This window comes from Homo sapiens, chromosome 14, assembly GCF_000001405.40.
Source record: "Homo sapiens chromosome 14, GRCh38.p14 Primary Assembly".
Classification (NCBI taxonomy): domain Eukaryota; kingdom Metazoa; phylum Chordata; class Mammalia; order Primates; family Hominidae; genus Homo; species Homo sapiens.
In genome coordinates this window covers 58,918,654-58,931,996 of record NC_000014.9, presented here as the reverse complement: position 1 = coordinate 58,931,996, position 13,343 = coordinate 58,918,654, and the positions used below count along the sequence as shown (strand labels likewise).

Genomic DNA, 13,343 nt, shown 5'->3' with positions numbered 1-13,343 from the left:
TGCCATGCAAAGCTAGTCTAACATATGTAAATTAATTAATATGATGCATCACATCAACAGAATGAAAGATAAAAACCACACAGTCATCTCAATTGATGTGGAAAAATCATTCCACAAAGCCCAACATCCTTTCTTTATAAAAACTCTGAAGAGTTTAGGTATAGAAGGATTGATCTTTAATATAATAAAGGCCATTTATGGAAAACTCACAGCTAACATAATCAATGGGGGAAAACTGAAAGCTTTTCCACTGTGATCTGGTACAAGGCAGGCATGTGTACTCTTGTTATTTTTATTCAACATAGTACTGAAAATACTAGCAGAAACAGTCAGACAAGAAAAATAAATAAAAGGCATCCAAATCAGAAAGGAAGACATAAAGTGATCTTCATCTGTAGATGACATGATCCTATATGTGAAAAACACCTAAGATTCCACAAAAAAACTGTTAGAACTAAATGAATTCAGCAAAGTTGCAGGATACAGAATCATCATATCCAAATTAGTAGTACTTTTATACACAAATGATGACTAACTTAAAAAGAAACCAAGAAAAGAAGCCCTTGGCAGATATAAGAATTACTTGTGTAGTCAGCCTCTCATTCTTCCTCACTGATATGGTTTGGCTGTGTGTCCCCACCCAAATCATATCTTGAATTGTACTTCCATAATTCCTGTGTGATGTGCGAGGGACCCTGTAAGAGATAATTTGAATCACGGGGGTGGTTTCCCCCATACTGTTCTTATGATAGTGAATAAGTCTCATGAGATCTGATGGTTTTATCAGGGGTTTCCACTTTTGCATCTTCCTCATCTTCTCTTGCTGCCCCCATGTAAGAAGTGCCTTTCCCCTCCCACCATAGGTGGCCTCCCCAGCCATGCGGAACTGTAAATCTAATTAAACCTCTTTTCTTCCTGGTCTTTGGTATGTTTTTATCAGCAGTGTGAAAACAAACTAATACAGAAAATTGGTACCAGTAGAGTGGGGGCATTGCTGAAAAGATACCCAAAAATATGGAAGTGACTTTTGAACTGGGTAACAAGCAGAGGTTGGAAATGTTTGGAGGGCTCAGAAGAAGACAGAAGAATGTGAGACAGTTTGGAACTCCCTAGAGACTTGTTGAATGGCTTTGACCAAAAGCCTGATAACAATATGGACAATAAGGTCCAGGCTGAGGCGGCCTCAGATGGAGATGAGGAACTTGTTGGGAACTGGAGCAAAGGTAACACTTGCTATGTTTTAGCAAAGAGACTGGTGGCATTTTGCCCCACCCTAGAGATTTGTGGAACTTTGATCTTGAGATGATTTAGGGTATCTAATGAAAGAAATTTCTAAGCAACAAAGCATTCAAGAGGTAACTTGGGTGCTGCTAAAGGCATTCAGTTCTATAAGGGAAGCAGAGCATAAAAGTTTGGAAAATTTGCAGCCTGACAACGTGATAGAAAAGAAAAACTCATTTTCTCAGGAGAAATTCAAGTCGGCTGCCGAAATTTGTATAAGTAACAAGGAGCTGAATGTTAATCCCCAAGACAATGGGGAAAATGTCTTCGGGGCATGTCAGAGGTCTTCACGGCAGCCCTTCCCATCACAGGCCCTGAGGTCTAGGAGAAAATGGTCTCATGGGCTGGGCCCAGGGTCCCGTCCCCATACTGCATGCAGCCTAGGGACTCAGTGCCCTGCATCCCAGCTGCTCCAGCCATGGCTGAAAGGAGCCAATGTAGAGTTCGGGGCAGGACTTCAAAGGGTGTAAGCCCCAAGCCCTGGCAATTTCCACGGGGTGTTGAGCCTGTGAGTGCACAGAAGTCAAGAATCAAGGTTTGGGAACCTCTGCCTAGATTTCAGAAGATGTATGGAAATGCCTGGATACCCAGGGAGAAGTTTGCTGCAGGGGCAGGGTGCTCATGGAGAACCTCTGCTAGGGCAGTGCAGAAGGGAAATGTGAAGTCAGAACCCCCACACAGAGTCCCTACTGGGCCATGGCCTAGTGGAACTATAAGAAAAGGGCCACTGTCCTCCAGACTCCAGAATGCTAGAGCCTCCAACAGCTTGCACCGTTCACCATTCACCTGGAAAAGCTGCAGACACTCAATCCCAGCCCATGAAAGCAGCTTGGAGGGAAGCTGTATCCTGCAAAGCCACAGGGGCAGAGCTGCCCAAGACCATGGGATGCCACCTCTTGCATCAGTGTGACCTGGATGTGACACCTGGAGTCAAAGGAGATCATTTTGGAGCTTTAAATTTTGACTGCCCTGCTGGTTTTCGGACTTGCATGGGCCCTGTAACCACTTTGTTTTGACCAATTTCTCCCATTTGGAATGACTGTATTTACCAAATACCTGTACCCCCATGGTATCTAGGAAATCAGTAGCTTGCTTTTGATTTTACAGGCTCATAGGTGGAAGGGACTTGCCTTCTCTCAGATGAGACTTTGGGCTGTGGGCTTTTGGGCTAATGCTGAAGTGAGTTATGCTTTCCCAACAGTTCCTCCCAAAGTGCTGGGATTACAGGTGTGAGCCACTGTGCCCAACCTCTTGACTTTTTAATAATCACCCTTCTGACTGGCATGAAGTGGTATTTCATTGTGGTTTTGATTTCCATTTCTCTAATGATCAGTGATGTTAAGCTTTTTTCATACATTATTTGGCTGCATAAATGTCTTCTTTTTTTTTTTTCAGATGGAGTCTCACTCTGTCACCCAGGCTGGAGTGCAGTGGTGTGATCTCCGCTCACAGCAAGCTCTGCCTCCCGGGTTCACGCCATTCTCCTGCCTCAGCGTCCCGAATAGCTGGGACTACAGGCGCCCACCACCACGCCCAGCTAATTTTTTTGTGCTTTTAGTAGAGACGGGGTTTCACCATGTTAGCCAGGATGGTCTCAATCTCCTGACCTCATGATCCGCCCGCCTCGGCCTCCCACAGTGTTGGGATTAGTGTTGGCATGAGCCACCGTGCCCAGCCAAATGTCTTCTTTTGAGAAGTGTTTGTTCATGTCCTTTGTCCACTTTTTAATGGGGTTGTTTTTTTCTTGTAAATTTAAGTTCCTTGTAGATTCTTGATATTAGACCTTTGTCAGATGGATAGATTGCAAGAATTTTCTCCCATTCTGTAGGTTATCTATTCACACTGAAGATAGTTTCTTTTGCTGTGCAGCTCTTTAGTTTAATTAGATCTCATTTGTCAATTTTTGCTTTTTGTTGCAATTGCTTTTGACATTTTCATCATGAAATCTTTGCCCATGCCTATGTCCTGAATGGTATTGCCTAGATTTTATTCTAGGGGTTTTATAGTTTTGGGTTTTACATTTAAGGCTTTAATCCATCTTGAGTTAATTTTTGTATAAGCTATAAGGAAGGGGTCCAGTTTCAATTTTCTGCTTATAGCCAGCCAATTTTCCCAGCACCATTTATTAATAGGGAATCCATTCTCCATTGCTTGTTTTTGTCAGGTTTGTCGAAGATCAGATGGTTGTATGTGTGCAGTCTTATTTCTGAGTTCTCTATGCTGTTCCATTGTTCTATCTGTCTGTTTTTGTACAAGTACCATGCTGTTTTGGTTAGAGTAGCCTTGTAGTACAGTTTGAAGTTGGGTAACGTGATGCCTCCAACTTTCTTCTCTTTGCTTAGGATTGTCTTGTCTATATGAGCTATTTTTTGGTTCCATATGAATTTTAAACTAGTTTTTCGAATTCTGTGAAGAACATCAATGGTAGTTTGATGGGAATAGCATTAAATCTATAAATTACTTTGGGCAGTATGGCCATTTTCATGATATTGATTCTTCCTATCCATGAGCACGGAATGTTTTCCCATTTGTGTCCTCTCTGGTTTCCTTGAGCAGTGATTTGTAGCTCTCCTTGAAGAGGTCCTTCACTTCCCTTGTTAACTGCATTCCTAGTTATTTTATTCTCTTTGTAGCAATTGTGAATGAGAGTTCATTCACGATTTGGCTCTCTGCTTGTCTATTGTTAGTGTATAGGAATGCTTGTGATTTTCGCACATTGATTTTGTATCCTGATACTTTGCTGTTACTTATCAGCTTAAGAAGCTCTTGGGCTGAGACAATGTGGTTTTCTAGAAATAGGATCACGTCATCTGCAGAGACAATTTGATTTCCTCTCTTCCTATTTGAATACACTTTATTTCTTTCTCTTGCCTGATTGCCCTGGCCAGAACTTCCAATACTATGTTGAATAGGAGTACTCAGAGACGGCATGCTTGTCTTGTGCCAGTTTTCAAGGGGAATGCTTCCAGCTTTTGCCCATTCAGTATGATAGTGACTGTGGGTTTGCATAAATGGCTCTTATTATTTTGAGGCATGTTCCTTCAGTACCTAGTTTATTGAGAGCTTTTAACATGAAAGGATGTTGAATTTATCAAGACTTTTTCTGTGCCTGTTGAGATAATCACATGGTTTTTGTCTTTAGTTCTGTTTATGTGACGAATTACATTTATTGATTTGCGTATGTTGAACCAGCCTTGCATCCCAGGAATGAAGCCAACTTGATCGTGGTGGATAAGCTTTTTGATGTGCTGCTGGATTTGGTTTGCCAGTATTTTATTGAGGATTTTTGTATCGATGTTCATCAGGGATATTGACCTGAAGTTTTCTTTTTTTGTTGTATGTCTGTCAGGTTTTGGTATCAGGATGACGCTGGCCTCATAAAATGAGTTAGGGGGGAGTCCCTCCTTTTCAATTGTTTGGAATAGTTTCAGAAGGAATGGCATCAGCTCCTCTTTGTACCTCTAGAAGAATTCAGCTGTAAATCTATTTGGGCCTGGTCTTTTTTCAGAACTTGTCTTTGGTCTATTTCAGGTATTCCATTTTCTTTTGGTTCAGTCTTGAGAGGGTGTATGTGTCCAGGAATTTATCCATTTCTTCTACTAGATTTTCTAGTTTATTTGCATAGAGGTTTTTATAGTATTCTCTGATGATTGTTTGTATTTCTGTGGGGTCAGTGGTGATATCCCCTTAATCATTTTTTTTGTTGTGTCTATGTGATTCTTCTCTCTTCTTTATTAATCTAGTTAGCAGGCTATTTTATTAATATTTTCAAAAAAGCAGCTCCTGGTTTCATTGATTTTTTGAAGGGTTTTTCATGTCTCTATCTCCTTCAATTCTGCTCTGAGCTTGGTTATTTCTTGTCTTCTGCTAGCTTTGAGGTTTGTGTGTTCTTGATTCTCTAGTTCTTTTAGTTGTGATGTTGGGATGTCAATTTGAGATCTTTCTAGCTTTTTGATGTGGGCATTTAGCGCTTATAAGTTTCCTTCTTAACACTGCTTTTGCTGCATCCCAGATATTCTGGTATGTTATCTCTTTGTTCTCATTAGTTTCAAAGAACTTGTTGATTTCTGCCTTAATTTCATTATTTACCCAGGAGTCATTCAGGAACAGGTTGTTCAATTTCCATGTAGTTGTGGTTTTGAGTGAATTTCTTAGTCTTGAATTCTGATTTAATTGCGCTGTGGTCTGAGAGACTGTTTGCTATGGTTTCAGTTCTTTTGCACTTGCTGAGGAGTGTTTTACTTCTGGTTATGAGATCAATTTTAGAGTAAGTGCCATGTGGCACCAAGAAGAATGTATATTCTGTTGTTTTTGGGTGGAGAGTTCTATAGATACCTATCTAGTCCACTTGATCAGAGCTGAGTTCATGTCCTGAATTTCTTTGTTACTTTTCTCTCTCAATGATCTGCCTAATATTGACACTGAAGTGTTAAAGTCTCTCACTATTATTGTGTGGGAATCTAAGTCTGTTTGTAGGTCTCTAGGAACTTGTTTTATGAATCTGGGTGCTCCTGTATTGGGTGCACGTATATTTAGACTACTTAGCTCTTCTTGTTGAATTGAACCCTTTACCACCATGTAATGTCCTTCCTTGTCTTTTTTGACCTTTGTTGGTTTAAAGTCCATTTTATCAGAAACTAGGATTGCAACGCCTGCTTTTTTCTGCTTTCCATTTGCTTGGTAATTTTCCTCCATTTCTTTATTTTGAGCCTATGTTTGTCTTTCCATGTGAGATGGGTCTCCTGAACATAGCACACCGATGAGTCTTGACTTTTTATCCAGCTTGCCATCCTATTCTTTTAATTGGGGCATTTAGCCCACTTACATTTAAGGTTATGTGTGAATTTGATCCTGTCATCGTGATGCTGGTTGGTTATTTTGCAGACTTGTTAATGTAGTTGCTTCAGAGTGTCATTGGTCTGTGTATGTCAGTGTGTTTTTGTAGTGGCTGGTAATGGTTTTTCCTTTCCATTTTCAGTGCTTTCTTTAGGAGCTCTGTCAAGGCAGGGCTGTTGGTGACAAATTTCCTTAGCATTTGCTTGTCTGAAAAGGAGTTTATTTCTCCTTCACTTACGAAGCTTAGTTTGGCAGATATAAAATTCTGGGTTGAAAATTATTTTAAGAATGTTGAATATTGGCCTCCAATCTCTTCTGGCTGGTAGGGTTTCTGCTGAGATGTCCACTGTTAGTCTGATGGGCTTCCCTTTGTAGGTGACCTGGCCTTTCTCTCTAGGTGCCTTTAACATTTTTTCCTTCATTTCAACCTTGGAGAATCTCATGATAATGTGTTTTCAGGTTGGTCTTCTCATGGAGTATCTTATTGGGGTTCTCTGGATTTCCTGAATTTGAATGTTGGCCTGTCTTGGTAGGTTGAAGAAATTCTCCTGGATGATATCCTGAAGTATGTGTTCCAACTTGGTTCTATTTTCCGTTTCTTTCAGGTACCCCAATCAGTCATAGGTTTGGTCTTTTTACATAATCTCAGAGTTCTTGGAAGTTTTGTTTGTTCCTTTTCATTCTTTTTTCTCCAATCTTGTCTGCCTGTCTTTTTTCAGCAAGATAGTCTCAGATTCTCTTCTCTGCTTGGTCTATTCAGCTATTGACACCTGTGATTGCATTGTGATGTTCTTGTGTTGGGTTTTCAGCTCCATCAGGTTGTTTATGTTCCTCTCTAAACTGGTTATTCTGGTTAATGGTTCCTGTAATGTTTTCATGATTCTTAGCTTCTTTGCATTGGGTTAGAACATTCTCCTTTAGCTCAGTGAAGTTTGTTATTACCCACCTTCTGAAGCCTACTTCTGCCAATTCATCTGTCTCAGTCTCAGCCTAGTTCTGTTTCCTTGCTGGACAGGTGCTGCAATCATCTGGAGGAGAAGAGGCACTCTGGCTTTTGGAATTTTCAGCGTTTTCATGTTGATTTTTTTCTTTTTTGTGGGTTTACATACCTTCAATGTTTGAGCCTGCTTACTTTTGTATGGGGTTTTTGTGGGGTCTCTTTTGTTGATGTTGTTGCTTTCTGTTTTTCTTTTAACAGTCCAGCCCCTCTTCCACAGGAATGCTGCAGTTTGCTGGGGGTCCACTCCAGACCCTATTCACCTGGGTCCCTCCCACACCTAGAGGTATCACCAGTGGAGCCTGCAGAACAGCAAAGATAGCTGCCCACTCCTTCCTCTGGGAGCTCCATCCCAGAGGGGTACCAATCTGATGTTGGCCAGAACCCTCCTGTATTAGGTGTCTGGTGGCTCCTGTTGGGCGGTCTCACCCAGTCAGGAGGCATAGGGCCAGGGACCCACTTGAAGAAGCAGTCTGGTTATCCTTTGGCAAAGTGGGTGCGCTGCGCTGGGAGGACTCCCACTCATCCAGACTCATGGCCTCCTCAGAGCCAGTAGGGGTAAAGATTAAGTCTGTTGAACCAGAGACCATGGCCACCCCTAACCCCAGGGGCTCCATCCCAGGGAGATTAGAGTTCTGTCAGTAAACCCCTAGCTGGAATTCCTGAAATTCCCACAGGGAGGCCCTGCCCAATGAGGGGGGAGGGATCTAGGTCCCACCTAAAGAAGCAGCCTGACCACAATCTGCCACAGCCGCTGTGCTGCGCTGTGGGGGATTCCTCCTGGTCCAAACCACCAAGTCTCCCCAGCACCAGCATGGGAAAACAGCCGAATGGAGCTGCAGTGATTCTGGCTGCCCTTCTCCCTGGAAATTCAGTCATCTTAGGCAGTCTGCAGCTCAGCCTGCTGCCACTGGCCACAACCTAAGCAGCCACCAAGCATCTGCACAGCCCTGTGCTTGGGACCCAAGGCCCTGGTGGCATGGGCTCACAAGGGGATCTCCTGATCTGTGGGTTGCACAGATCTGTGGCAAAAGCATGGTTTCTCTGGCAAGGTAGCACGATCACTCACTGCCTCCCTTGGCTGGGGGGGTGAGAGTTTCCCATACCCCATGCATCTGTCAGGCGGATTGTTGCTCCACCCTGCTTTTGTTTGCTCTCCATGGGTCACAATGAAAGAACCTGGATACCTCAGCTGAAGTTGCAGGACTCACCTGCTGATTTCATTCTTCTTGGTGGGAGCTGCAGATTGGAGCTGCTTCTAATCAGCCATCTTGGCCCCTCCCTCAAAGTAATATATTTTAATCAACTTTATTGAGTTATAATATAATAAAATGCATAGAAGTGTACAGTTTATTTTTATGGCAAAATATCAAACAAATGTATTATTTTATTATTGTCAATTACATGATAATCTATTTATTTATATAATTTCAACTTTAATTTTAGATTCAGGGAATACATGTGCAGGTTTGTCACATGGATATACTGTGTGATGCTGAGGTTTGGGATACAAACGATCCTGTCACCTAGCTGGTGAACACAGTATCCAATAATTAATTTTTCAACCGTTTCCCTTCTCTCTTCCTCCCCTCTTGTAGTTCCCAGGGTCCATTGTTGCCATCCTTATGTCCATGAGTACCCAATGTTTAGCTTCCACTTAAGTGAGAATATGTGGTATTTTGTTTTCTGTTCCTGCATTAATTTGCTTAAGATAATGGCCTCTAGCTGCATCCACATTGCTGCAAACAACATGATTTTGTTCTTTTATTATGGCTGTGTAGTATTCCATGGTTTATGTGTACCACATTTTCTTTATTCAGTCCACCATTGATGGGCACCTAGGTTGATTCCACATCTTTGCTATTGTAAATAGTGCTGCAATGAACATATGAATGCATGCATCTTTTTGGTAGAATGATTTATTTTCTTTTGAATATATACCCAGTAATGGGATTACCAGGTTGAATGGTAGTTCTGTTTTAAGTTCGTTGAGAAATCTCCAAACTGCTTTCTACAGTGGCTGAACTACTTTACATTCCCATCAACAGCAATAAGCATTCCTTTTTCTCTGTAGCCTTGCCAGCATCTGTTGTTTTTTGACTTTTTAATAATAGCCATTCTGAGTGGTGTGAGATGGTATCTCATTGTGGTTTTGATTTGCATGTCTCTGATGATTCGTGATGAGGAAAATTTTTTCACATGTTTATTGGCTGCTTGTATGTCTTCTTTTGAGAAGTCTCTGTTCATGTTTTTTTCCCCACTTTTTAATGGGATTATTTGTTTTTTGCTTGTTCAATTATTTAAGCTTCTTATAGTTTTTGGATACTAGACCTTTGTTGAATCCATAGTTTGCAAATATTTTCTCCTATTCTGTAGGTTGTCTGTTTACTCTGTTGATAGTTTCTTTTGCTTTTGTTTTTGTTGCAATTGCTTTTGAGAACTTAGTCATAAATTCTTTCCCAAGACTAATGTCCAGAATGGTGTTTCCTAAGTTTCCTTCTAGAATTCCTATGGTTTGAGGTCTTACATTTAAGTCTTTAATTCATCTTGAGTTTTAATGTTTGTATATGGTGAGAGATAGAGATTCAGTTTCATTCTTCTGCATACGGATAGACAGCTACCCCAGCACCATTTATTGATGGTCCTTTCCCCATTGCTTATTTTTGTTGACTTTGTTGAAGATCATATGGCTGTAGGTGTGTGGCTTTATTTTCTGGGTCTCTGTTCTGTTCCATTCGTCTGTGTTCGTGCCAGTACCATGCTATTTTAGTAGGCTTATAGAATATCTTGAAGTCAGGTAATGTGATGCCTCTGGCTTTGTTATGTTTTTTTGGCTTAGGATTGCTTTGGCCATTCAGGTTCTTTTTTGGTTCCATATTCATTTTAGAATGGTGTTTTCTAATTCTGTGAAAAATGATGTTGGTAGTTTGATAGGAATAGTGTTGAATCTGTAGATTGCTTTTGGGCATTTTAATGATATTGATTCTTCCAATCCATAAGCATGGGATGTTTTTCCATTTGTTTGTATCGTCTGTGATTTCTTTCAACAGTGTTTTGTAGTTCTCCGTGTAGAGATATTTTCACCCCCTTGGTTAGATGTATTCCTAGGAGGTGTGTGTGTGTGTGTGTGTGTGTGTGTGTGTGTGTGTGTGTGGCAGGGGAGGGCGGCAGGGAGGCTATTGTAAATGGTTTTGCATTCTTGATTTTGCTCTCAGCTTAAATGCTATTGGAGTTTGTTTGCTATTGATTTCTGTATATTGAATTTTGTATCCTGAAACTTTACTGAAGTTCTTTATCAGTTCCAGGAGCCTTTTGGTGGAGTCGTTAGGGTTTTCTAGGTGTAGAATCATGTTGTCAGTGAAGAGAGGTAGCTTGACTTCTTTGTTTCCTATTTGGATGCCTTTTATTTCTTTCTCTTGCCTGATTGCTCTGTCTAGGACTTCCAGAATTGTATAGTCTAATATATTTTTAAAAGTGTATAAGTAGCACCTCTGTAATCACCACAATATTCAAGATATAGATCATTTCCATAACCCCAGAAAATTTCTTCTTGCTCCCTTGAAGCCAGTCCTCACCCACTCCACACAGCCACGGATTGGATTTCTACCAACAGAATCAACATAACGTTTTGAAAGATTTATTAATGTCCTTCCACGTAGTAATAGCTGATTCCTTTTTATTGATGTACAGTTTTCTAAAGTATTCAATGGTATGCCTATACCACAGTTTGTTTATCCATTCTGAGTTAATGGGTTGTTTCTGGTTTGAATTATGAATAAAGCTGCTACAAACATTCTTGCACAAGCATTTTTTGGACATATGTAATTTTCCTTGGATAAAAAAACTAGGAGTGAAACTGATATGTCATAAAGTAGGTGTAAATTTAACTTTGTAAGGAAAGACCAGTTTTACAAAATGGTTTATCAGTTTACATTTCTGCCAGCAATGTATGACAGTGCCAGTTCCTTTGCACTCTTGAATATATGGTATTTCAGTCTTTTTCATTTTACCCATTAGAGTAGGTAAAATGGTATCTTATTGTGGTTTTAATTTTTTCATATCTTTATATACACTAACAGTGATGCTAAGCACCTTTTTCTGTGCTTATTGTCTAACATATATCTTCTTTTGTTAAGTGTCTAAGTCTTTTGACATTGGGCTGGGGTTGTTTGTCTTTTTATTATTGAGCTGTAGGAGTTTCCTACATATCCTAGATAGAAGTCCTTTGTCAAATACATATATTATGAACATTTTCTCCCAATCTGTGGCTTATCTTTTCATTTTATTAATGATTTCTTTTGAAATTCAGAACCTTTACTTTTTGATTAAGTTGTTTTATCATTTTTTTTTCTTTTATGGTTGGTGCTTTTTGTCCTGTCAAAATCTTTGCCTTTGAAGGGCCATAAAAATATTGTCCTATGTTTCATGTAGAAGGTTTATGGTTCTAGAAAGTGGTTTGTTTGTTTGTTTTTCCAGTGATTTCTTCTTATCTCGGTGGCAGTAGAGTCTTTCACGTTCTTCTACATCCTATCCAGCAGCGGGATGATATATCCAAGAAAATCTGTTTAAAGTACAACCTTCCAAAATAACTGTCTGACTTAAAATTTTTTTTTAATTTAAATCAACTTTTGATCCTTTGTTTATAGTCTCACCGGCCATAAGATAGTGGATCTGTCATGCTGAATCATGAGAATTTTTTGTACATTTAATTGGATTTCCAACAGGAAATTGTAACTTTATTTTAATAGTGAAAGCCATTTGAAAAACTAGAAAAGCAATGAAATAAAGCAGTTAAGACTCAGGTGCTGAAGTTGTGTTGTCTTCTGTGCAAATCCTAGTTCTGCTCCTCACTAGCTATTTAAACAAACTGAGCTTTACCACATCACTTTCCTCATCTCTAAAATAGTACATAAATGATAGCAACTTCTGAGCTTTGTTGAATGAGAATCAGGAAAGTGCTTAGCAAAGTTTGATTACCATCAATAATAAAGCTTTTCTGTTTCTGCGTCATACCCACAGGGGGAAAAAGATCTTGAGGAAGTTATTTACCAATTCTATTCATACTTTCCCTTCTTTTTGTTTAAAGAAGTCCTTTTTGATTTTTATAGAAGGCAGATGTTTCTTAAGAGATGCTTTATTTTTTTTTTTAATTTTTAAAGGTTGTAAACAGCAAGGGAAAGTAGTGAATAGATGTTTTACTTAACTTTTCAAATTAACTTCAAGAATCTGTCTGTAAACATGGTAAGACATTTTAAGGCTTGACTGTTGTGGAATTTAAAGGTTGTTCCCCCACCTTTCCCCTAGTCTGTGACCCACCCCCAGCAGTGAGCAAATACGTGACCTGAACTGAGGTAGTAGTTTTCATGTGTACAGCTAATGTCAAGGTCCCAGGAGAGGTTAGGTGGCTGGAGTGTAATCAGAGACATCTGTTTGTTGCTAACTGCAATGACTCTCTGCTTAAGTCTTGAGCAAGGTCATTATTCTCAGTCTGTGATGCGCGAGTGCACAGCAGGCCCAGCAGACTGCTCATTAGTATTCTGCACGTTCTATCAGCTAAATTTGCCATTACATTTAGAATGCTTCCGATTGCATATTTTTTTATATTCCTGGCCTCCACAGAGAAATGGATGCCACTGTTGGTGCTCTGACAAGCAGCCGAGCACACAATGATGTATTTGCCATCAAACTAAGGGGGAAAGTTATCAAAACACTTGGCTGTCAACCGTGAATTCAGTTCAAATCATTTAAGTTATGAAAGTAGTTTTAAATGAAAGAAGCAAAAATAATACATAAATCAAGGAAGATTTATGTAGAGAAAAAATCATTTTAATAAGTAAGAATTTACTAAAAAGACTTTGTCCTTCCTCTATAATTTTAAAAGTAAATGAATGCAGATATTTTAAAGCTATAAAATCCTTCATTTGGCCATTGAAATTGATTCCTACTTCAGGCACATTCAACATCACATACTTTGCAAACTTAAGAAATTACATGTTTTAAAGTATATGGCTTTAAAAAGGTAATTAATATTTATATTTAATTATGCTTTTCTCAATATTTCTTAGATGGACCAGATGACATCTGCATTGCTACCTCACAAGAGAAAAAAATGAGAAACATTGTTTCATGGGCCATGAAAGGGATGTATGATTTGTACTCCTACCAGCAGAGCTACTAAAAAATGGAAATTTATGATTTTTGCCCCCCAGAAAAAACCTCATTAAGCTCC

General features: G+C 39.6%; 1 long non-coding RNA gene across 1 annotated transcript in view; it reads right to left on the bottom strand.

Annotated features, from left to right (window-relative positions):
• The window catches only part of LINC01500 (long intergenic non-protein coding RNA 1500), a 189,041-nt gene that overhangs the window by 85,332 nt on the left and 90,366 nt on the right, over window positions 1-13,343 (bottom strand). The gene's annotated exons all lie outside the window — the stretch shown is intronic.